This window comes from Homo sapiens, chromosome 19, assembly GCF_000001405.40.
Source record: "Homo sapiens chromosome 19, GRCh38.p14 Primary Assembly".
Lineage (NCBI taxonomy): Eukaryota > Metazoa > Chordata > Mammalia > Primates > Hominidae > Homo > Homo sapiens.
Window position 1 is genome coordinate 48,659,431 of NC_000019.10, and position 23,840 is coordinate 48,683,270.

At 55.9% G+C, this 23,840-nt stretch overlaps 1 protein-coding gene, 1 long non-coding RNA gene and 1 pseudogene across 7 annotated transcripts in view, besides 6 other annotated features; 1 reads left to right on the forward strand and 2 right to left on the reverse strand.

Annotated features, from left to right (window-relative positions):
- SEC1P (secretory blood group 1, pseudogene) overlaps positions 1-22,815 on the forward strand; it is a 44,207-nt pseudogene extending 21,392 nt beyond the window's left edge. Inside the window, exons 2-5 of the transcript NR_004401.2 lie at positions 3,767-3,837; positions 7,897-8,033; positions 13,726-13,837; positions 20,595-22,815. The product of NR_004401.2 is annotated as a secretory blood group 1, pseudogene (transcript). The remainder of the gene's footprint in view (positions 1-3,766; positions 3,838-7,896; positions 8,034-13,725; positions 13,838-20,594) is intronic.
- Positions 1,977-13,587, reverse strand: NTN5 (netrin 5). 2 transcript variants are annotated; one of them, NM_145807.4, is made up of 7 exons: positions 13,502-13,587; positions 10,926-11,576; positions 5,149-5,337; positions 4,713-4,862; positions 4,331-4,384; positions 4,033-4,113; positions 1,977-2,611 (listed from the first exon to the last, which is right to left on the reverse strand). In NM_145807.4, exons 2-7 carry the CDS (start codon positions 11,554-11,556, stop codon positions 2,247-2,249), a joined length of 1,470 nt encoding a protein of 489 aa, NP_665806.1. In that variant the 5' UTR covers positions 11,557-11,576; positions 13,502-13,587; the 3' UTR covers positions 1,977-2,246. The 2 variants fall into 2 exon arrangements, with proteins under 2 accessions (NP_665806.1, XP_011524745.1); XM_011526443.4 differs by lacking the exon at positions 13,502-13,587 and having other exon boundaries at positions 2,554-3,796; positions 10,926-12,367.
- Positions 4,234-4,735: an enhancer, noted in NCBI's record as "H3K4me1 hESC enhancer chr19:49166921-49167422 (GRCh37/hg19 assembly coordinates)". NCBI's record gives its function as "activates a minimal SCP1, AML or CMV promoter by ChIP-STARR-seq in naive H9 embryonic stem cells {active_cell/tissue: H9 hESC(naive)}" and the evidence as "EXISTENCE:reporter gene assay evidence [ECO:0000049][PMID:30033119]".
- Positions 4,736-5,235: an enhancer, noted in NCBI's record as "H3K4me1 hESC enhancer chr19:49167423-49167922 (GRCh37/hg19 assembly coordinates)". NCBI's record gives its function as "activates a minimal SCP1, AML or CMV promoter by ChIP-STARR-seq in naive H9 embryonic stem cells {active_cell/tissue: H9 hESC(naive)}" and the evidence as "EXISTENCE:reporter gene assay evidence [ECO:0000049][PMID:30033119]".
- Positions 13,716-18,148, reverse strand: LOC105372431 (uncharacterized). 4 transcript variants are annotated; one of them, XR_936016.3, is made up of 3 exons: positions 17,597-18,148; positions 15,811-16,201; positions 13,716-14,357 (listed from the first exon to the last, which is right to left on the reverse strand). It is a non-coding gene; the product is annotated as an uncharacterized LOC105372431 (long non-coding RNA). The 4 variants fall into 4 exon arrangements; XR_936015.3 differs by having other exon boundaries at positions 15,110-16,201; XR_936013.3 differs by having other exon boundaries at positions 13,716-14,111; positions 14,257-16,201.
- Positions 15,144-15,792: an enhancer, noted in NCBI's record as "OCT4-NANOG-H3K4me1 hESC enhancer chr19:49177831-49178479 (GRCh37/hg19 assembly coordinates)". NCBI's record gives its function as "activates a minimal SCP1, AML or CMV promoter by ChIP-STARR-seq in primed H9 embryonic stem cells {active_cell/tissue: H9 hESC(primed)}" and the evidence as "EXISTENCE:reporter gene assay evidence [ECO:0000049][PMID:30033119]".
- Positions 15,793-16,440: an enhancer, noted in NCBI's record as "H3K4me1 hESC enhancer chr19:49178480-49179127 (GRCh37/hg19 assembly coordinates)". NCBI's record gives its function as "activates a minimal SCP1, AML or CMV promoter by ChIP-STARR-seq in primed H9 embryonic stem cells {active_cell/tissue: H9 hESC(primed)}" and the evidence as "EXISTENCE:reporter gene assay evidence [ECO:0000049][PMID:30033119]".
- Positions 16,066-16,215: a silencer, noted in NCBI's record as "silent region_10898". NCBI's record gives its function as "represses an Ori minimal core promoter by ATAC-STARR-seq in GM12878 lymphoblastoid cells {active_cell/tissue: GM12878}" and the evidence as "EXISTENCE:reporter gene assay evidence [ECO:0000049][PMID:35858748]".
- Positions 23,280-23,554: a silencer, noted in NCBI's record as "fragment chr19:49185967-49186241 (GRCh37/hg19 assembly coordinates)". NCBI's record gives its function as "represses an EF-1alpha promoter that drives an FKBP-Casp9 reporter gene in an ReSE screen in K562 erythroleukemia cells {active_cell/tissue: K562}" and the evidence as "EXISTENCE:reporter gene assay evidence [ECO:0000049][PMID:32094911]".

Sequence of the window (23,840 nt, forward strand, 5' to 3'; positions counted from 1 at the left end):
GAACCTGGGAGGCGGAGACTGCAGTGAGCCAAGATCACTCCACTGCACTCCAGCCTGGGTGACACAGTGAGACTCCATCTCAGAAAAAAAAAAAAAAAAGAAAGAAAGAAAAGAAAGAAAAGAAAAGAAAAGAAAATCCCTTAAGACTGGTCGCAGTTGCTCATGCCTGTAATCCCAACGCTTTGGGAGGCTGAGGCAGGAGGATTGCTTGAGCTCAGGGGGTCGAGACCAGCCTGGGCATCATAGTGAGACCCCATCTCTACTAAAAAAGAAAAGAAAAGAAAATCCCTTAAAAGACTCCTACTTCAGAGATGACCCCACCCTGGGTTCATCGGGAGGCTAAGGGCAGGTTCTCCCAGATTATGTAACATTTTATTGGTGGCATGGGGGTCAAATAGTCTCCCTGGAGGCAATTTCTTGCCTTTTTCCATCTAACCAAGAGCAAACCCAGAACGTTTGCTGGAAGGCACCTTTCTCCCTACCTGGTATCCTGTGACATCATGGCATATCCTGACTCCCCATTGGCTGAGAGGCCCAGCTTTCTCTCAGAGAAGGAAATTATTAGGCAACACAAATCTGACTAGCACCCAGTTACATCATAGGAGTGTGCTTATTGTATTGGCCACTTTGTTCCAGGTCCAAATGGACCTCAGGACAGCGCGGTGGCTCACGCCTATAAACCCACCACTTTGGCAGGCCAAGGTGGAAGGATCACTTGAGCCCAGGAGTTCGAGACCAGCCTGGGCAACATAGCGAGACCTCGTCTCTACCAACAACAAAATTAGCCAGGCATGGTGGCCTGCGCCTGTGGTCCCGGCTACTTGAGAGGCTGAGGTGGGAGGATTGCTTGAGCCCAGTAGGTCAAGGCTGCAGTGAGCTACCATAGAGCCACTGCACTCCAGCCTGGGCAACAGAGTGAGACCCAGTCTCAAAAAACTAAATAATTAAAATAAAATAAAATAAAAAATTTTGGCTGGGCACAGTGGCTTATGCCTGTAATCCCAGCACTTTGGGAGGCCTAGGTGGGCGGATCACCTGAGGTCAGGAGTTCGAGACCAGCCTGAGCAATGTGGTGAAACCCCATCTCTACTAAAAATACAAAATTAGCCAGGCGTGGTGGCACGCACCTGTAGTCCCAGCTATTTGGGAGGCTGAGGCAGGAGAACTGCTTGAACCGGGGAGGTGGAGGTTGCAGTGAGCCGAGATCATGCCATTGCACTCCAGCCTGGGCAACAAGAGCAAAACTCCATCTCAAAAAAATAAGTAAGTAAATATAACTATAAATAAAATAATTTTTTTAAAAAAGAGTTAGAAACAAACAAATGGACCTTAAATCACATCCCTTCCTCTAAGACTCCCTGAGTACCCCCTCAGTGACTCTCCTGAAAAGATCACCCAAATTTGAGATTATGTTGTTTGCTGTGGGTGCAGGGGCAGGGGTCAGGGTGGCAAGGAAGGTCCCAGGCTGTGGCAACCTTCCATTCCGTGGTACTTACCGCTTCCTGCCTTTTGCGCCCCTCCCCTCTGGCGTGCAGGCCAATTGTTGAGTGGGAATACAATTCTGCTTAGCACCAAGTTATGTCATACCACTCTGTGGCTTCCGATTGGCTATTCTTTCAAAAATGAGTCACTCAAAGTATCTCAATTCCTTTCTCAGAGCCTATCCTGAGGCCCATCAGAAACCAACAGTTCCTACGTCTGGAATTTTCTAGAAATCTGGAACTGCTGTCCCTCCCTTTGTGAGATTTCCCGCCTTTTCCAACCAAGCCCCGCCCATTGGCCTTCGGCCTATCGTCAGGCAACACCAATCTGACTAGCACCCAATGACGTCATAAGAGCGTTCTTATTGGATTGGCCACTTTGTCAGGGTCCCGTTGTGCTGTGGTCCTAACTTCAGCTCCGCGTATTGATTCAAGGCCTTGTTCGCTTCCCTCTAGAGAGTGTGCCAGCATCGATCAGGGGTCTGTAGACAAAAATTCCCAAAGATTTGAGACTTTATTGGGGGAAACAGATCACTGGCGGGGAATAAGCCACAGGCCAAAGGAGGAAATGTTGGGACCAGAAGTCCCGCTTGCCGCCTTTTGCTAAAAGTTCCGCACGCCTGCTCGGCGTGGGCGCAAGCATAGTGTCGTCGGGGCTCTGCGACGTCTGATTGGCTCTCTGCAGTGCACCGTCGAGGTAGAAGGCTCAGCTCCTAGTCGCTCCCAAATTACTTTGTTGGTGCTCGAGGCAGCCCCATCTCACGTCTAGTGCTCCGGCCTGGGACTGGGTGTGGGTGCCCGCACGCCGCGGCAGCCTCCGGCGCGCTCCTCCTGCTGCAGCCGCTTCAGGGGCCGGGCCCAGCGCGGCCTCCATGGCAGCGCGAGGCCGTGGCGGTCGAGGATGAGGCGCGTGGGGTCGGGGTCGCCCACGGCGCTGCCCAGCAGCAGGTAGTCGGTGCCTGGCTGCAGGCGCAGGCAGCCGCAGGTCAGGTCGGCGCGGGGCACCCAGGCGTCCTGGTCGCCGCGTCGCACGGGCTGCGCCCGCTGCTTGTAAACGGCCAGCACGCGCACGGCCAGCCGCTGCCATGCCGGGCCCGCCGCCTCGGACGCTAGCACCTGCGCGCGGAGAACTGTGGGGAGGGGAGATGTCAGCCCAGGTCGTGGGGAGCTTCCAGGGTACCTCTGGGTCCCGTGGGGTCAGTCACAGTGGGCAGGAGCCCGAGACCGGTGGGTGGGCTTCTGGTATCGCAGTGGGGAGAGAAACCTTGAACCTTGGAGAGTTTGACCCTAAATCGTGAGGGGTAGAGCCTGCTGGAGGAAACATCTTTGAGATAAGGAGTTAAACTATAGTAGGTGGGGCTGGGGACAGGGCAGAAGAGGCAGGTCCAGGGTCTCTAATGCAGTGGAGTCAGAAGGTATCAATGGTGGAATTCTTGGGAAGGAGGGGTCACATTGCCGGGGGAGGGGCTCTGGGATAAATTTCGAGGACCAGAAGAAGGAAGAGACTGGTCCCTGGAATGTGAGGGCTGAGGTCATACTGATAGTGATTCAGAAAAACATAAATTTTTTTTTTGAGACGGAATCTTACTCTATTGCCCAGTCTGGAGTGCAGTGGTGTGATCTCAACTCACTGCAGCCTCTGCCTCCCAGGTTGAAGTGATTCTTGTGCCTCAGCTGGGTTTACAGGATCCTGCCACCACGCCTGGCTAATTTTTGTATTTTTAGTAGAGATGGAGTTTCACCATGTTGGCCAGGCTGGTCTCGAACTCCTGACCTCAAGTGATCCGCCCACCTCGGCCCCCACAAAGTGCTGGGATTATTAGCATGAGCCACCGCGCCCGGCCAGAAAAATGCACTTTCTGAGAGGCTGGGTGGGACTCTGACTAGCCAGCTGGGTCTGCGGGGCAGGAGATCCCTGTGGAAGGTGGGGAAAATCTTTCCACCTGTGAAGGCCTAGAACACTAGTGACCAGATGAGGTTCCTGAGGGAGAAGTCTGCGGTCCTATACATTGAGAGAAATAGCTGGCGTTGGTCTAGATTTGTTGGCTGGGCCGAACTCCTGAGTGTCTTAAGAGAGCTGAATAGCCTGAGGTCATAGACCCCAAGGTCATGGAGCAGGTGTGGACTGGGGATTAGGGAACCGTGGGACAAGTCTTTATGGGAAGTGGGGCTAAGGCTCAAATATCTGGGACCATGAAGGGAAGCAGAAAGGGTCTCTGAGATAGGGAGGACAGGGCAAGAGTTCATTCCACTCAACCAGTTCCCCTATCTCTTCCATCCCTCAGAGATGTCAGGCTGAAGGAGATGATGAAACTCTGTAAGCCGAAGAACATGGGGAAAGAGGAGACACAGGAAGGTAGTGAATGCCCCCTCCCCACTCCCCTCCCCATTTGTCTTCTGCCCCATCAATTTCTAGATCAGGAAGGGGTTTGGAATCCAACACTCCTTCCCATTTAAGATGAGAAAGTGGAAGGCCAGAAAGGGGGTGGCTTAGAAGCAGTCATCAGAACCAGCTGTGTAGCCTTCAGCTGTCTGTCTCCCCAGCACTCACCATGGTCCTGCTGGCAGTACCTCCGAAGGCTCATGTGTACCCTGGTGTCCGACATATTGCAGTAGTTTTGACACTGAGGGTCTGGGGAGGGTCAGGCTGTCTGCAGTGGGCTCCTGGGGCCTAGACCACAGCCTTCTGCCCCTGCCCATCCCTCCGTTCCATCTTGATGGCCAGCTGGGGTACCCAAACCTTTGGGACTGGGCTCAATGGGTGACCCATGTATCCCCATCTGGGGACCCAGTCAGCCCATCCTCATTCCCACTTGCCACTCAGGGACCTCCGTGCCAGACTGTCTTACCAGAGCTATAAGCACCAGGAGTAGTGGCAAGGGTGGTTGTTGCCTCTGGAATTCCTGTGAGACCAAAGGAGAAATTAACCTCTTAGTCATTTCCCCCAGGATCCCCTCGCCCCTGCCCCGGGAATCCAGGCACCCAAACTCTTAAGTGTTTATTCCTTTAGGACTCAAGAGTGCAAGCATCCCTTGCCTTCAGGCCCCAAGCCTCCTTTTCCTCAAGAGTCCAGAATTTCAGTCCCTGCTTATCCGAGGGCCCAGAGTCCAGCCTCCAGCCTTGGGCTCCCAATTCCCAAGGCCCCAGCCCTCACTGCAGCTGTGCACTGGAGACCTGGGATGTCTCCTTCCCGCTCTACTCAGGCTTGTGGCCTGGCCCCTCAAGACTTACGCTGGCAGGGCATCCTGGGGGAGCGGCTCTGCTGGTAGCCAGGGCCACAGCGGTTGCAGGTCAGGCCTGTGACCCCTAACTTGCAGGTGCACTGCCCACTGGTCTGGTTGCAGGTTCCTCCTGTTGCCCCAATAGGGTGGCACTGGCAGGCTACATGAGCAGAGGAGCTGGGGGCATGGGGTATCAGGGCCCCAGATGCCCCTCCCAATTCCACAGTGCCTCCTCCCTCAGCCTGGGGAGTCCAGGCCCCCAGCCCCTCTTCCCTCAGACCCAGGAGTCCAGGCCCCCAGCCCCTCCTCCCTCAGGCCCAGAGTCCAGGCCCCCAGCCCCTCCTCCCTCAGATCCAGGAATCCAGGCCCCCAGCCCCTCCTCCCTCAGCCCCAGGAGTCCAGCCCTACCTCTGCTCCCCCCAGGCCTGTCTGCAGGCCACACTCACCTCTGCAGGCCCTGCGGCTGAAGATAGGCTGGCTAGGGTCCCTCCAGAACCCAGGTTGGCAGTAGTGGCAGTGCCGCCCAGCTGTGTGGTGGCGGCACCGCTCACAAACACCCCCACTCCGGCCGCCCGACAGTCTGAACAGCTCAGAGTTGAACCGGCAGCGTCGGGCGTGCTGGTTGCAGGAGCAGGCTAGGAGCAAAATGGGGTGGGGGCGCATCAGGGCCGAGTGTGCTGCTCCCCAGTCCTCAGCTTTCTTCCCATGGCCCTGCCCTCATGAAAGGAAGCCGTGAGTGTCCAAGGTAGAAGAGAATGCCTGGGTCCCAGGACATCTCTATTATTATCTTTTTTTTTTGAGACGGAGACTCACTCTGTCACCCAGGCTGGAGTGCAGTGGCGCGACCTCAGCTCACTGCAACCTCCACTTCCCAGGTTCAAGCGATTCTCCTGCCTCAGCCTCCCAAGTAGCTGGAACTACAGGCACGTGCCACCACACACAGCTAATTTTTTTTTTTTTTTTGTATTTTTAGTAGAGACGGGGTTTCACCGTGTTAGCCAGGATGGTCTCACATCTTTTAAATGGGTAGGCCGGGCTCATGCCTGTAATCCCAGCACTTTGGGAGGCCAAGGTAGGTGGATCACCTGAGGTCAGGAGTTCGAGACCCACATGGCCAACATGGCGAAAACCCATCTCTACTAAAAATAAAAAAATTAGTTGGCTGTGATGGCTTGTGCCTGTAGTCCCAGCTACTCGGGAGGCTGAGGCAGGAGAATCTCCTGAACCCGGGAGGTGGAGGTTGCAGTGAGCCAAGATTGCACCACTGCACTCCAGCCTGGGCAAAGGAGCAAGACTCCATCTCAAAAAAAAAAAAAAAAGGTACATTGGACTGGAGCTGGTAAGTCCGGGGGGACTCATGAACCTCCTGAACATCTGTGAAACTGGGCCTCTAAAGAGTAGGCTGCATCCAGGCACGATGGCTCGTGCCTGTAATCCTAGCACTTTGGGAGGCCAAGGTGGGCAGATCACCTGAGGTTAGGAGTTCAAAACCAGCCTGGCCAGCGTGGTGAAACCGTCTCTACTAAAAATACAAAAATTAGCTGGGCGTGGTGGCACGCGCCTGTAATCCCAGGTACTCAGGAGGCTGAGGCAGGAGAATTGCTTGAACCCAGGAGGTGGAGGTTGCAGTGAGCCGAGATCACGCCACTGCACTCCAGCCAGGGTGACAGAGCAAGACTCCATCTCAGAAAAAAAAAAAACAAAAAGAGTGGGCTATGGCCTGTGGAATCAGACCCTTTTAGCCTTGTCGGTCTCTCTGACCGTATTCCCTGGACAGGTAATTTATCCCTTCTGTAGTTTGATTGGCTGTGAAATGGCATTTATAATGTTTACTTGAGGCTTAAATGAGATAAAGTGGATAAAAAGTGCATAGCCCAGGCCTGGCGGAGAGCAAGTACTTGGCTGTCTAGCATTCGTACGTGCAGGACACCCTGCACTGTGTTTGATGTATTTCATCTCCACAAGGGCTCTGTGAGGCTGGCACTATTATCATCCCCATTTTACAGAGGGAGAAAGCTGAGGCACAGAGAGGTACAGCTAGCGGGTAGTTGGAGGCAGGACTTAAACACAGGTCTTCTAGCTTGACAGTCTGAGCTCTTAGCTCACTCCAGTAATACACAGCTCCCGTGAGGATTATTTAGCATGTGCATTATCCTGGGAGCGTTTGTCAGGTGTTTTAAGGTGGCTCTCAAACCTTACTGCTCATCAGAATTACCAGGGAAATGTTTTGTTGTTGTTTTTATTAAAAATACATTAACAGGGCATAGTGGCCCACACCTGTAAGTCCCAGCTACTCTAGAGGCTGAGGTGGGAGGATCACTTGAGCCTGGGAGTTGGAGGCTGCAGTGAGTTATGATTGCACCACTGCACTCCAGCCTGGGCAACAGAGTGAGACCTTGTCTTTAAAAAAGAAGCAAAAATCCAAAACAACAACAAAAGCCAGATTGCAAGGCTCCTCCCTAGGCTTTCTGATGGGCCCAAGGATCTGTATTTCCAGCAAGCACTGCAGAGTGAGATGCTGATACAGGGGGTTCACAGACCACTCTTTTTTTTTTTTTTTTTTTTTTTTTTGAGACAGGGTCTCACTCTCGCCCAGGCTGGAGTGCAGTGGCACGATCATAACTCACCACAGCCTCCAACTCCTGGGCTCAAGGGATCTTCCCACCTCAGCCTCCTCGGTAGCTGGGTCCACAGGCATGCACCACCACACCAGGCTACTTTAAAATTTTTTTTTTAAAGACGGGGACTCATTATGTCTCCCAGGCTCATGGACACTCTTTGAAGAGACTTGGACTGCAGGGTGTTTTGACACTAAGAGGTTTGAGAGCCCTGGACTGGCAGGTCCCTGAGAGCCCGGAAGAGTTGTGGGATAATCAGGGAGCTCAGACGGCTGCATGTTCTTGGAAAAACAACTCCCCCTCTCCCAGCCTCTGTTTTCTCCCTGTCCAGAGAGAATCCAGATCCCTCTCTCCCAGGGTTTTTGTGGGCATTCAAAGTGGCAAAGCTATTCAGATGATCAGTGAGTTGAGTCAGGTTTTGGATTCTTTCTGACCCAAGGGTAATCGTTTTGCCTCACTTCCCCTGTGGAGAACTCAGATGAGGGAGAGGAGATGCAGACCAGGATGTCTGTGAAGCCCATAGCTCTGCCACAGGCATTAGTCTCACCTGGCCACCCTGACCTTTCTCCACTGCAGCATTGTCAGTCTCTTACCCGGGTTTGGAGGGCACTGCCCTGCTCAGTCTGGGGGGATGTGGTGACCCTCAGGACAGCCTCCCCAGCGCCCAGGCCCTGTCCAGGCCCAGGATGAAGGCTGCCTCATCCTCAGGCCTGGTGAGTCTCACCCCTCACTCCCCTGCTTAGGTAAAAGATTTGGCCAAAGAATGGGGATGGTCTGTAAGTTAGCCCATGTGATCTTCATGTATGAAGAAATAGAGGGGCAGAGGCCGGGCGCGGTGGCTCACGCCTGTAATCCCAACATTTTGGGAGGCCAAGGCTGGCAGATCACCTGAGGTCAGGAGTTTGAGACCAACCTGGCCAACATGGCGAAACCTCATCTCTACTAGAAATACAAAATTAGCCGGGCGTGGTGGCACACACCTGTAATCCCAGCTACTCGGGAGGCTGAGATAAGAGAATGGCTTGAACCCCAGAGGCAGAGGCTACAGTGAGCCGAGATGGCGCCACTGCACTCCAGCCTGGGTGACAGAGCAAGACTCCATCTCAAAAGAAAAAAAAAAGAAATAGAGGGCCGGGAGGCAAAGCGCATGGGAGGTGGAGAGGGAAGGCCAGGGTACACTTGCACACGTGTGTATATGTCTGTGTCTGTTGGTAGAGTTACCTCCCAGGACCTCAGACCCTGTACCAAGTGTCTCAGGCTGGAGGAGGGAGGGGGTCAGGGCCGGAAGGAGCTGACACCGGCTGTCTCTGAGGAGGGGCTGTTGGAGGGAGGTAGGGAAGGCCTGGTCTGGAAGCACCTGTGGGAAAGAGGGCATCGCATGGGACATTCCTGGGGGGCCCCTGTCCAGCTGGATGGAGCAGCGGATTGTTGCAGCATCTAGGAACTCAGGGCTCCCTGGGTTAAATCCCTTGCTGGCAATGAGACTTAGGGCAAGTGACCTCTCTTTGAGCCTCACCTTCCTCAGCTGGGGAGTGGCGACTTTGGCAGGTGCTCAGGAAGCCGTTCCTTTGTGCCAGGTACCACATTGGGCTTTATTTAAAGGCTTTATGTGTATTAATGCATTTAATTTTCACTACAGCCTGTAAAGGATGTGCTGTTACTATCCCCAATCTATGGTGGAGGAAACTGGGGCACCAAAAGATTAGGTCACTTGCCCAAGGTCTCACAGCAGGTAAGCAGAGGAGCTGGGATTCAAGCCCAAATAGTCTGGCTGCCAGGCCACCAAGGCCGTGCTCCTGTCTGTTGCCTCTTGTCTGCCACGTGGTGTGACAGTACCCAGCAGGAGCCTGGCAGGGACAGGCTGAGACCCCAGAACTTGGCTTCCTGAGCTCAGATCCTGGCCCTGCCACACGCAGCCACTGTGTGTCCTTGTGCAGGGGACTTCTGAACTCTAGGCCTGAGTCTCCTCATCTGTAAAATGGGCCTGATGACATCCCTGCCTGGCACACGTAGGTGACTGATAAATATGTGTTTAATGACCGAATACTTTCCCCCTGTGGTTGGTTTGAGGAGTCAGGTACCATCCAGCTGTCCTGTTCCCCTACAACTGTTCAATAAATATTACCCAAGTACCTGCATCCAGCCAGGCCCTGGGATGGGTGCTCGGAAACTGTTATTACATCATCATCACCACCACCATCATCATCACCACTATCACCACCATCATCACCACTATCACCATCACCATCATCACCACTATCACCACCATCATCACCACTATCACTATCATCACCACCACCATCACCATCACCACCACCACCACTATCACCATCATCACCACCACCATCACCACTATCACCATCATCACCACCACCACCATCATCATATCACCATCATCACCACCATCACCACCACCACCATCACCACCATGACCACCATCATCACCACCATCACCATCACCACCACCACCACCACGACCATCATCACCACCACCACCATCACCACCACCACGACCATCATCACCACCACCACCATCACCACCACCATCACCACCACCACCATCACCACCACCATCACCACCACCACCATCACCACCACCACCATCACCACCACCATCACCACCACCACCATCACCACCACCATCACCACCACCACCATCACCACCACCATCACCACCATCACCACCACCACCACCATCACCACCATGACCACCATCATCACCACCATCACCACCATCACCATCACCACCACCACGACCATCATCACCACCACCACCATCACCACCACCATCACCACCACCACCATCACCACCACCATCACCACCATCACCACCACGACCACCATCACCACCACCACCATCATCACCACCATCACCACCACCAGTCATCACCATCACCACCACCAACACCACCACCATCACCATCATCACCACCATCACCACCACCATCATCACCATCACCACCATCACCACCACCACCACCATCACCATCACCACCACCATCACCATCGTCACCACTACCATCACCATCACACCACCACCATCACCATCACCACCATCATCACCATCACCACCACCACCATCACCATCACCACCACTACCATCACCACCACCATCACCATCATCACCACTACCATCACCATCACCACCACCATCACCACCACCACCATCACCATCATCACCACTACCATCACCATCACCACCACCATCACCATCACCACCATCATCACCATCATCACCACCACCATCACCATCACCACCATCATCACCACCACCATCACCACCACAGTCATCACCATTATCACCACCACCATCACCACCATCATCACCATTACCACCATCACACCATCATCATCATCATCACCATCATCACAGGCTGATGAGTGTTGGGGAGAGGCTGAGCCCCTCATGAGCAGACAGGCCCATGTGTGGCTGAGATACAGGACTGGCTGCAGGGAGGAGGTATGAGGGGACCGAGTCTGAGACTGGGGTGAGAGGCAAGGAGCACCCAGTTCCAGCGAGGGAAGGGAACATCCTGCTCCCGTAGGGACAAAGGACCCAGTGGCAGGCAGGCAAAGGCAGGGAGAGTGAGGGGCGCAGGACTCACGTAGGCAAGGGTGGGGGTGCCGGGGCGTGGCAGGCCGCCAGGGCCAGTCTCGATGGGACGGGCGGCAGCTCTCGCACCCCGGGCCAGTGGTATGGTGGCGGCAGTGGCAGCGGGGGGGCCGGGCACGGGCGGCACAGCGGGCAGCGTGGCCATGACACTGGCAGCGGCCTCTCAGCCCAGCTGCCGCTAGCCCGGCCTGGCCCCCAAACTCCACACGGAGGTGGCTGGCCGCCACAGTGGCCTTAGGACCTGGTGTGGAGTGGAAGGTCACCCTTTCAGGGCCCCCTAAGGCCCCAGGCCAGGCGGGCCTGTGCCACAGCAGCCTCCAGGGACCCCCTGAGGCCCAGGCAGCAGACAGGATGAGGGCTGGGGGTCCTGGGGTACAGAAGCGCAAGCTGACAGATGTCAGGAGGAAGGGGCCACCCAGGGCCAAAGTCAGGCTGCCATTGCAGGTTTCCCTGGCGCCAAGGTGGTTTCCTGGGGACAGGGCACAGGCCTGAGGGCAGGAGGCCGCCACGGCAGCCAGCTGTGTCACTGGCGGGAGGCAGAATTGGGGGCGGCCCTGTGGATCGTAGCATGGGTCCGCAGTGGCCTGGCCCAGGAGGAGCAGGAGGGCAAAGGTCACGGGCATGGTCACAGCAGAGCCAGCACCTGGAGGGAAGAGAGGTGGCTGGGCTGGGGATCTCAGCCGCAGCCTCTACCCCTCCTGGAGGTGTCCTGTGGAACTGGGGCATTCCACCCCCAACCCGTCCAGGCCCCCTCCCCGGCTGCATGGAAGCGAGGAAAATAGTTCCATCTGGGGAGAATTACTGTTTACATAACCCAAAGGGGAAAGAACGCAGACAAAATCGAGAATTTTGCCTGAACTAATCCGTAGCTTAACACCCCAGAGTTATCCGTCAGTGTCGAGGGGCAGGGGGCCCTGGGGAGCGGTGAGCGGCTGGAGCAGAGGGGCTGGCCAAGGCCAGCAGACGTGGAAACCTAGAGAGGGACACAGAGACAAGCAGGGCTGGGCAGGAGAGGGGGCTTAGGGACAGATGAAGACTCAGTCACAAAGAAATAGAGGACAGGACAGAGGCAGAGAGAGGACAGTCAGCCTAGGGGAGGCGCTCGGCACAGAGAAGTTGCTGCAAAGACAGAGGAACAGACAGGAGGCTGAGAGGCTGAGACAGAGGCCAGGCACCCAGAGGCCACAGGGAGCTGGGAGACTGAGGCTCGGACTGCCTGGGGGCTGGGATAGGTGGGCAGGTGGGCTCAGAGACACCCAGCCTGGCAGGCCCTGGGGAGGGGAGGGAAGGGGACAGGCTAGGGGTGTCTGGCGGGGGATCAGAAGTGAGAGACCGAGGCCCAGGCCTGCAGGGATCAGAGCCATTGCCTTTCCCACATGGGGCCCTAACCTTGTTCTCCACACCCTGGGCACGGAAGGGGATTATCACCAAACAACCCAGCCTCCCTGCCACCCGCCCACCCACCCCCAGCGCCCCACCCTTAACCCTTTCCCACCCGAGTGCAAAGCCCAGAGAGCTGAGCTGAGGAAAGGGATGCTGGGAGCTGGAACCTGGGTGGCTCTGGGGCTTGGGAGCGGGACAGTGGGATCCCCATGGGGTCAGGGGAAGCAGACACCTGGGTTCCCTTCAGAACTCAGGGTGTGGGGACCGGAAGTTAGCGTTCTGGGACTTTCTGCTCACCTCAACCCTGCCCTCTATTCTGGGCCTCAGGGCCTGGAGACCAGAGTCCCCACATTCTCCACCCATCCAGAGTTCCCCAGAGCAGATGGGGGAACAGATGTTGGGGGCGGTGGGTAATGAGGAGGAGAGAGGCAGGAAGGCAGGAGCTGGGACAGGGTGGGGTGCCAGATGCCAGGGCGCCCGTGGGGGCAGAAGCCCAGACCCTAGGAATGGCAGGAGCTGGGAAGGACTGGACTCTGAAATGCCCCCACTTTCCCCTTCCAGGGCCAGCAGCCTCTGGTGAGGAGCTCACTGTGGACTGGGGGCCTCGGAGCCTTTCCAGGCCCTTGGCTCTGAATCTGCGCCCAGGAATGTCCCTGGGCTGGGCATCTCTGGGGCACCCTGGCGGTTGAGGTGGGCCACACCTGCCCCAGCCTGGCCTCACTGCCCATGTCCCCACTGCTGTTGGCCACATGCAGACGCTGCCTCCCCTGGCCCAGATGACAGGCCTCGCCCTCCGCCCTCCCAAGGAGCCTGGCGCCATTTTGCACCCACTCAGGTGGCAGCCGCCTGCCTGGCCCTCAGCAGCATCCTGTTAAGGGCCAGTCCCCCATGTCCCCTTTCTCTCTGGATAGTTGCTGGATAGTTCAGGGGGTGGCACCCTCTGGCCCTTAGCACCTTGAGGAACCAGGCTGTGAGTTCCCTAGTGTTCCTGGGGGATCCAGAAACCAGTCGTGGCCCACAGAGAGCCCATACCCCTCTTTAAGAAAGAGTCCAGCCATGCTCCCAGCAGACTCATAGGAGGCCTGCCTGGGCGGCCTGGGGTCCATCTGGGACCCAGGCTTCCTTTCCCTGGCTCTTGGCATGCACCCCCCAACCCGAGCCCTGAGGCCCCGACATTGGCCAAACCTGCACTCAAGAAGAGAGCGTCCTGCAGCCAGTTCCCCGCAGGCTCTTCCTCCAAGCTGTGGCGCGGTGGGCTCTCAGGAGGGAGTGGCGTGGCTGTTCTCAGGCCCCAGGCTAGTGGGGTTTCTGGGCTGGGCGGGGGCTCAGAGCAGAGCCCGCAGAATCTAACACCGCCACCCCCCTCCCACCCCAATCCCTCACCAACCGCAGCCACGCTATCCCCACAGGGACCCCTGCCAGCCAGGCCACCCGCAACGGTGTGGGACGTGAGTGCCGTTGCCCCCGGCGGTCCAGCAGCAGGACAGCCCCGAGCAGCCTGGCCTAGGAGGCTCACCGCAGGTAGGACGGGAGGCTGTCAGTCGGGGGTCCCGCTCCATCCCACTCCACCCCTGCCCACTGGCTCAGCCCCGCCTTGTGGTGGCCGCCATCGCGATCGGGCAGGGGCTGACCTTTGGGAGACAATCGCTGTTGGAAACTTTGCTCAGCCCCTGCCTCTGGCTGCGTGACCCCAAGCCAGCCCCTCCTCCTCCTCTCTGGAACCTTTTGTCAGCTGTGGGTTCACCGAGCCTTAAGGTCAGTAAAATCTGTGCTCTTGGAAGGTTCAGACCAGCCCCTGGAATTCAAAAGACCTCAGTCGCTTTCTAAGATGGTGGGGAAGGCGACAAATGAGCTGAGAACACCTGGGCCCCAGTGTTTCTCATGCGGCAGAGGGAGAAGGCGGGGACCCCCGGGGTGCGGGGGACCAAGCTCAAAAGCACCTCCCCAGTGCCGCTGGTGTCCTGCGAGTCCTCAGTGCTTTCATCGTGACATTTTCATGCGAATGTTGCTGTCTGTTCTATTCCATCTCCGAATGGGTTGACTAGAAAAATAATGTTTTCTGTCACTTCCCGCTGAGAAAAGCAAGGGCCTCATGGAGTTGGGGCGCGGCACCTGCTGCCCTGGGTGGCCCCAGCGTTTATCGTGGTGTAGCGTGGGCCCAATCCTGACAGGCTTGGGACCCACTGCCCCAGGCCCGCCCCCAGGGGGTGCGAGGGCACAGCAAAGGCGACCCTCGACTCTGGACCCTTAGGTACCACGTTGGAGGGGGCCAGATTTGGCAGGAGCAGGACAGGGACATCGGATTTGAAAGAAGGGAGTCACTCCGAAAGCTGGGAGGTGCATCAGCTGCAGGAGGATGGAATGGGGCTGAGACGCCCCCCATCAGAGGGGGCATGTCAGAGCTGGGGGCCCAGGCTGTGTGAGTCAGAGTGGAACTTCGGGATTCAGGCGCAGGTCCCTCCGCTGACCCTGCCTGAGCTCCCCCTGTATGGGACTTTGCCGGGGGTTCGCGCTGGGAACACAGACCCCTGCCCCATCAGGCTCAGTGTCCAGAGAGGGAGGGGGAGACCCCAGCAGCGCAGGTCCTTCTGTGCTCTAGGTTGTTGGAAGGTGCCAAGTGCCTTGGAGCAAAGCAAGTGGGGGGGGCGGCCACGGGGGCCCGGGGATTGCAGATGTAAGTGGGGTGATGCGGAGGGGCATTTGTGCTGAGCCCACCGCCAGCACAGAACCCAGCTTTGCTGCCACACAAAACTGAGGAAGAAGGCTTAGGTCTCGCTGCGTCTTCCTCCCCACCTGGGCGAAGTCTCAAGCTCCGGCTCCTGGAGGGAAGCTTTTGTTCCTTGCAGCTTGAGCTGCCTGAGTTGATGGGCGCCCCTGCGGGTGCCCGGGGGCAGGCGGGGAAGAACAGACGGAGCTGCCACAGCCGAGCACATAGTGCCCCAAGCTGGGAAGGAGACTGTTTTTTTTGTTGGGGAGAGTTCTTTAAGGGCTGGAGACCTTCACCCTCACAGCTTCTACAGAAGGCCAGGCCTGCCCAAGGCACATCTCTGAGGTGGGTTCAACCCAGAGAGAACCTCAGTGCTGGGCTCACACAGACCTCTAACCCCTGCCTTGGTGGCCCAGATATAACGGAGTCTCCACGAGGCAGGGCAGGTCACCCGCAGGAGTTACTGGGCATTGTGTGGCTGGGTAGGGCCTGCCCTCCCGGACATGTTCAAAAAGGCCAGGATGGTAACCCCAGCCATACTGCCTGGGTTCAAATCCACCTCTGTCCTAGCTGTGTGACCGAGAACAAGCTTCTTAACCTCTCTGTGCCTTCATTTCCTCATCTGTTAAATGAGGAAGAAAGAATGGACCTTCCTCATGGTGGGCGGAGGGGGTCATGAGGACTGAATGAGCTGACATGCCCACGGGTTCTTATCTGAGCTCTCTGGGAAAGTCGTGTTCCGGAACCTTCTGCTTCCTGGCCCTGTTGTCGGATGCATAGTACGTACGTGACATGGCATCCATGGTAGGTCTGGGCCGCATCACATTGTCAAACATGTTATGTTTTAGGCAGCAGAGCACATGGGTGTTCACAGTAAGAGAAGTAAAGTCTGCAAATAGCCACATGACCCTCCTCCAAGCCAGGGTTGTCCCCAGATGAGTTCAGTCCAGGTTGGCGTTTGCCGCTCCCCCTGAGGAAAATGGCTGACAAGGAATCGCGGACCAGGACAGCCAGCCCCGTGATGGGCCTGCCCGCCAGCACCCTCGCAGCCTCGGCCTTGGCTGGTGCTTTTCTGCGGCTTTCTGGTTGTCTAGGCTGAGAACAGCCACAAGAGGGAGCACCTGAGATTCCAGGAGAAGCCAGAGCAGCCGCGGTACCCACTGCTTGATCTGCAGGGCCTGGGGGAAAATGCAGACACAGGACCCCTTGTTTAGAATTTATGAAGGATTTTAAGACGGCAACACCAGATCATTAAAGCAAGCGTGGGGCCTGTCTCAGCGCAACTGCACGAGTCACACAAAATGAAGGCGGACCCCGCGGGGGGCACCCTTGTCCTGAGCTGGTTTCCCTTGGCCAGTGACCCAGGCTCCTGTCCCTGCCCTGCACCCCCACTGACCCCAGCTCTAGCCTTGGGACCTGCCTGGGGGCTCCAGCTGGGCTCAGAGCTCAGCTCCTTCTCCGTGGGGCAGGACCCTGAGTTGAGTGGATGGCAAGATCATGTTTGGGACACAGTTTTCACCAGCTCAGTGAAAAAAGGCTTGGGCAGATTTAATTCACTTTTTGCAAACTAAAGCAGCACCAGGAGCATTTTTCTTAGGCCTTAGGCCAGCTGGCCTTGCTGGGGACCCACACGAGACTTTCAAGGAGGGCCCCAGAGTGTTCAGGCTTCTCAGAAGGGTCAGATGAACCAAATGAGGAGCCCTGGAATAGAGGAGGATGACAGCTGAAGAGGCCTGGAGGGCCCCAGATTGTTCAGGCTTCTCAGAAGGGCCAGATGAACCAAATGAGGAGCCCTGGAATAGAGGAGGATGACAGTTGAAGAGGCCTGTAGGCCCCCGATGTTTAAGAGGACAGGCGGAGGGAGAGATGGGGAGCCGGGAGGGGTGAGGCAGAAGCCAGAAGTTTTAGGGGTGAGCCCATGCCAACCAGGGCTTCAGCAGGAATGGGGTGGGAGGGAGGGGGTGAAGGGATGACTGCTGAGCTGTAGCCATTGGAGTGGCCACAGGGAAACCATAGGACATTGGTCAGAGGAGTGGACAAGGGGAGAAGAGAAAGCCGATCAGGACATGGTAGAGGCTGGGAGCAGAGGACCTTCTGGGAGCCCTGGGGAGAGCTGGAGGAGACTCGGAAAGAGCAGCCCCCGGAGAAGGGACCATCCATCCCACGGCGAGGACCGGGACCGAGGTCCTTGGAGCCCAGTCAGGCCCAGTGGTCAGGGCTGGACCTGGAGGTGAATAGGTGTGGGCCCCACGGTGAGATGGCCCTGCACACCCACCACAACCAAACACGACGGCGAGCGAGGCTGGGAAATGGGGCCTTCCCGTACTGCTGGTGGAAACGGAAACTGGGGCAGCCACCTGGCAGCTCCCAAAACGATTCAACGTAGAGTTCACCCTGTGACCCAGCACACAGGTTCGTGGCAGCACTATTTGCAACAGCCGAAAACTGGAAACAACTCCAGTGCCTATCACCTGATGAGTGAATACATTGTGGTCTACCTGGACAATGGGACTTTCAGTCTTGAAAGGAGTGAGGCAATTATCTGGGCGTGGTGGCTGTACCTGTAGTCCTACCTGTAGTCCCAGCTACTCGGGAGGCTGACGCAGGAGAATCACTGAAACCCAGGAGGTAGAAGTTGCAGTGAGCCGAGATTGCGCCATTGCACTCCAGCCTGAGCGACAGAGTGAGACACCGTCTCAAAAAAAGAAAAAGAAAAGAAAGGCGTGAGGCTGTGACACGTGCTATAGTGTGGATGGACCTTGAAACACGGTGCCGAGTGAGGAAGCCAGACTCGGAAGGCCATGGAGTGTGTGATTGCAGTCACATGAAAAATCGAGAATAGGCAAATCCATAAAGACAGAAAGGAGATTACTTGGTGGGGGGACAAGGAACAGGGAAGATTGTGGGGAGATGGTTAAAGGGTGTGGGTTTTTTTGGGAGGGGGGCTATGCAAATATTCAAAAATTGATTGTGCTGGTTGCACAGCTCTGTAAATATACTAAAAGCCATTAAATCGCACACCTTACGTGGGTGAATGGTAGGGTATATTAATTATATCTCAAAGTGGTTGCCAAAAAAGAGCTGGCTGGACGTGGTGGCTCACGCCTGTAATCTCAGCACTTTGGGAGGCTGAGGTGAGTGGATCACCTGAGGTCAAGTGTTCCAGACCAGCCTGGCCAACATGGTGAAACTTTGTCTCTACTAAAAATACAAAAATTAGCTGGGCGTGGTGGCGGGTGCCTGTAGTCCCACCTACTTGGGAGGCTGATGCAGGAGAATCGCTTGAACCCAGGAGGCAGAGGTTGCAGTGAGCCGAGATCACACCACTGCACTCCAGCAAGGGCAACAGAGCAAAAACTCCATCATAAAAAAAAAAAAGAAAAGAAAAGAAAAGAAAAAAATGAATAATCATAACCCTACATACAAAAGCTAAAACTGGCCCATGCCTATAATCTCAGTACTTTGGGAGGCCAAGGCAGGAGGATTGCTTGAGCCCAGGAGTTCAAGACCAGCCTGGGAAACACAGTGAGACCCCATCTCTACAAAAAATGTAAGAATTAGCGGGGCATGGTGGCACATGCCTGTGGTGCCAGCTACTGGGGAGGCTGAGGTGGAAGGATCCCTTGAGCCCAGCTGTGATCAGACCACTGGCACTCCATCCTAGGTGACAGAGTGAGAACCTGTCTCAAAAAACAAAAGCTGAACTCTCCAGCTTGACACGATAGTGCAGAGGGAACATTCTCAAGGCAAGACATGAAAGCTGTTAGTTCTTTAAGTCCTGGGCCAGAAATGGACACAATTTCACTTGCACTATATTAAAGTGGTCAAGGCAGTCATGGGCCCGCCCAGATCCAAGGGAAAGGGAGTCCAGGAGTCTGTGGTGGCTTGAACCCACCACACCCACTAATAGTATCAGGAAACGCTTAGCACTTATCAGTGCAGGGGTGTGGCAGCCCCATTTCTTGGAGGAGGAGAGGAGGAGTTAAATAACACCTCCAGGTCACCAGCCTGCAGAAGGCAGAGCCTGTCCATGAACTTGGGCCCACCTGTGCTCTTTCCCAAACTCTGCACGGGCACCAAAGATTCTTACCTGTTTTTTCCTCTGCTGGCTTCCTGGCCCTGAGCACCGTGCCTGGCATTGTAATAAATACTCTGCAAGTATTGATTTTATTTATGTTATTTTTATTTTTTTTGAGACAGTCTCGTTCTGTCACCCAGGCTGGAGTGCAGTGGCACAATCTCGGCTCACTGCAAACTCCACCTCCTGGGTTCAAGCGATTCTCCTGCCTCAGCTTCCTGAGTAGCTGGGATTACAGGCACCCGCCACCATGCCCGGCTAATTTTTGTATTTTTAGTGGAGATGGGGTTTTGCCATGTTGGCCAGGCTGGTCTCAAGCTCCTGACCTTAGGTGATCCGCCCACCTTGGCCTCCCGAAGTGCTGGGATTACAGGTGTGAACCACCGTGCCCAGCCACTGCAGGTATTGATTTTCCAACACATACAGGGCATTTCCTGTGTGCGAGGCACTGCTTTACAAAATCATCACATTTAATCTTCAAGCAACCCCATGAGGTAGTTCTGTGAGGTAGAATCATAGAAATGGCCGTGAGTAGGCCAGGCACGGTGGCTCATGCCTGTAATCCCACCACTTTGGGAGGCTGAGGCGGGTGGATCACGAGGTCAAGAGTTCGAGACCAGCCTGGCCACCATGGTGAAACCCCGTCTCTACTAAGAATACAAAAATTAGCCAGGGTTGGCAGTGCATGCATGTAATCCCAACTACTCAGGAGGCTGAGGCAGGAGAATCGCTTGAACCCGGGAGGCGGAGGTTGCAGTGAGCCAAGATCGTGCCACTGCACTTCAGCCTGGGTGACAAAGCAAGACTCCATCGCCAAAAAAAAAAAAAAAAAGAAATGGCCATGAGTGTAGGTAAAATCGGGTTAAATATTGGCACTTTCAAATAGTTCCATCTACTCATCCCCATTTAACAGGTGAGGAAACAGACTCAGAGAAACTCAGTAACTTCTTGTTGTTTTTGAGACAGGGTCTTGCTCTGTTGCCCAGGCTGGGGTGCGGGGGCACAATCACAGTTGACTGCAGCCTCAACCTCCTGGGCTCAAGCAATCCTCCCACCTCAGCCTCCCAAGTAGCTGGGACCACAGGTGCATGCCACCATGCTTGACTAATTTTAAAAAAAATTTTTTTTTTTTGTAAAGATAGGGTCTCACTTTTTTTGCTCAAGCTGGTCTTGAACTTGGGCTCAAGTGATCCTCCCATCTCAGCCTCCCAAAGTGCCAGGATTACAGGCACAAGCCGCTGTGCTCAGCGAGGTGCAGTAACTTGACTGAAGTCACAAGGTGCTGGTGAGGCTGGGACTTCCAGCAGGAACTCAGCCTCAGGTGGAAAGACCCCAGGGTCTGTGCTCTGAGGCCTCTCCCATGCACTGTGGTGCTCAGGACAGAGGCTTGGATGGATTGAGTGAGTGAATGAATGACTTTGGCAGGGGGTGGGTGAAGAGACTCCTGTCCCCCCAGCCCTGCCTCCTGACCATGTCCTCTCTCCTCCCCACAGCCGTCAAGGGATTCTGGGCCACCCGCCCTTCCTTCTCCACCTTCTACTTCGTCTTTGCCATTTTTGTGGTGTCCACCATCTTTCACTGCCACCAGCACCTGGCTCTGGTGCCTGCGCCCTGGGCATACTCAGCCCGTGTGGTCCTGGCCCCCAGACACCTGCCCCGGGAGGACCTGTTCACTATCAACTCCAAGGGCCGCCTGGGGAACCAGATGGGCGAGTACGCCACGCTGTACGCCCTGGCCAAGATGAACGGGCGGCCCGCCTTCATCCCGGCCCAGATGCACAGCACCCTGGCCCCCATCTTCAGAATCACCCTGCCGGTGCTGCACAGCGCCACGGCCAGCAGGATCCCCTGGCAGAACTACCACCTGAACGACTGGATGGAGGAGGAGTACCGCCACATCCCGGGGCGCTGTGTCCGCCTCACGGGCTACCCCTGCTCCTGGACCTTCTACCACCACCTCCGCCAGGAGATCCTCCAGGAGTTCACCCTGCACGACCACGTGCGCGAGGAGGCCCAGAAGTTCCTGCGGGGCCTGCAGGCCAAGTGGGCAGGGCAGGCGACCTTCGTGGGGGTCCACGTGCGCCGGGGGGACTATGTCCGTGTCATGCCGCGCGTATGGAAGGGGGTGCTGGCCGACCGGCTACCTGCAGCGGGCCCTGGACTGGTTCCGGGCCTGCTGCCGCCTCCCGGTCTTTGTGGTCACCAGCGATGACATGGCCTGGTGCCGGGAGAGCATCAACAGCTCCCTTGGGGACGTGGTGTTCGCTGGCAATGGCCTCCAGGGCTCACCTGCCAAGGACTTCGCACTGCTCACACAGTGCAACCACACCATCATCACCGTGGGCACCTTCGGGGTCTGGGCCGCGTACCTCGCGGGCGGGGACACTGTCTACCTGGCCAACTTCACCCTGCCCAACTCCCCTTTCAACGTGGTCTTTAGGCCGTAAGCGGCCTTCCTGCCAGAGTGGGTGGGCCTTGCGGCTGACCTTGGACAGGCTGGACAGAACGGCCTCTAGCCAGCCCTGCATGTGCCTGGTCCTCATCCTGTGACCCGAGGGGCAGTGAGTGGGGCGTGCGGGGCATGGACTCACGGTCCCTCATGCAGTTTGGATCCAGGCTTATCTACTTCATAGCTGAGTGAGTTTGGACAACTGACTCAACCTCTGTGCCTTAGTATGTCAACCACAAAATGCACAAACCACAGAACTAAACACCAGTAGCAGCTGGTGGGAGCTGAGCAAATTCGCTTAGAGCCAGTGCCTTGTGACCGTGTGGGAGGTGTCGGCTGCTCACATGTATGCAGCACGTCAGGAACACTGGCATTGCTTTCCAATGGAAACGCAGTTTTGCCCTCTCCTTCCTGGCAGCACTGGTAGCACAGAGCCCAGATATTTTGCACTCACGTCCCAGGACGAAGCCATCCCTGCCCTGAAGGATAGGGGAACTCGATTTTCTGGGCAACTAGGAATTTTGGCTTTGGAGTTAGTGGGCCTTATCACAAAAGAATGTGAGGGAAGGGCCGGGTGCGGTGGCACGCCTGTAATCCCAGCCCTTTGGGAAGCCAAGGCTGGTGGATCACTTGAGGTCAGGAGTTCGAGACCAGCCTGGCCAACATGGCGAAACCCAGTCTCTACTAAAAATACAAAAAGCCAGGCACGGTGGTGCGTGCCCCTAATCCCAGCTACTCCGGAGGCTGAAGCAGGAGGATAGCTTGAATTGGGAAGCAGAGGTTGCAGTAAACCGAGATCATACCACTGCACTCCAGCCTGGGCCACAGAGCGAGACTCCATCGCAAAAAAAAAAAAAAAAATAGAATTCCAGGGAAGACAGGATTTGCAGGGACACACCTATGAGGAGGGATTCCCCTGCGATGGACAGGGGAGGGGTTTAGGTGCAGGTAGCACCCTGGGCGCAGGGAAGAAGGCGTCACAGTGAGGGCAGAAAAGACACTCCTCAGATCCTGGAAGCAGCAACCTGACCCCCAGGGGCCACTAAGACCAAATCATGGCCATCTCAGCAGCAGCGTGTGTGACAGTTACTGGAAAAAGATACCTCACACCTGGCACTGCCTAACCCCCGAGAACCTAATGCCACTCTGAGAAAGCTCAGTACGGGTGCAAGTTGGATTAAGTAATTGCAGTGCGAGTTTTCCTGTGTTTTATTGGTGTAATGCTCCTTTTGGACATTAAAAAAACTTGACATATACAATGATCATTTACATGCATTAAACATTTCCACCAAATGTAGGTGCAGTGGTTTAGAAAACATTCCAATCACATCTCTTTCCCATTTGAAACCTTTTCAAGGTTGGGTGCAGTGGCTCATTTCTGTAATCCCAACACTTTGAGAGCTGAGTTGGAGGGGGATCCCTTGAGCCCAGGAGTTCGAGACCAGCCTGGGAAACATATTGAAACCTCATCTCTACAAAAATTAGCTGTGCCTGGTGGCACACACCCATGGTCCCAGATAATCAGGAGGCTGAGGTGGGAGGATCACCTGAGCTTGGGAGGTTGAGGCTGCAGTGAGCCATGATCACACCACTGTACTCCAGCCTGGGCAACAGAATAAGACCCTGTCTCAATAAAATTAAATAAATAAATAAATAAATTGCTTGCAGCTGGTGCCAAGGAATGGTAGTCTCCCAGTAGACAGAAAACACCCGAAGCTGGCCAGGTGTGGTGGCTCACGCCTATAATCCCAGCACTTGGGGGCCCGAGGTGGGCGGATCACCTGAGGTCAGGAGTTCAAGACCAGCCTGGCCAACGTGGCGAAACCCTGTCTCTAATAAAAATACAAAAATTAGGCCGGGCACGGTGGCTCATGCCTGTAATCGAGCACTTTGGGAAGCCGAGCCTGGCGGATCACGAATTCAGGAGATCAAGACCATCCTGGCTAACAAGGTGAAACCCCGTCTCTACTAAAAAAAAGAAAAAATACAAAAAAATTAGCCGGGCGTGGTGGCGGGCGGGCTCCTGTAGTCCCAGCTACTCGGGAGGCTGAGGCAGGAGAATGGCGTGAACCCGGGAGGCAGAGCTTGCAGTGAGCAGAGATCGCGCCAGTGCACTCCAGCCTGGGCGACAGAGTGAGACTCCGTCTCAAAAAAAAAAAAAATTAGCCGGTGTGGTGATGCGCGCCTGTAATCCCAGCTATTTGGGAGGCTGAGGCAGGAGAATCGCTTGAACCTGGGAGGTGGAGGTTGCAGCGAGCTGAGATCGCGCCATTGCACTCCAGCCTGGGCA

Excerpts from the sequence above, each read along its gene's own strand:
- NTN5 (NM_145807.4), bottom strand. The coding sequence starts at position 11,556 with ATGCCCGTGACCTTTGCCCTCCTGCTCCTCCTGGGCCAGGCCACTGCG. Across the intron at positions 4,863-5,148 it reads CAGCCGCAGGGCCTGCAGAG|CCTGCCAGTGCCACCCTATT; the intron begins GTGAGTGTGGCC and ends CTGCTCATGTAG. Across the intron at positions 4,114-4,330 it reads TCCTGGTGCTTATAGCTCTG|ACCCTCAGTGTCAAAACTAC; the intron begins GTAAGACAGTCT and ends GACCCTCCCCAG.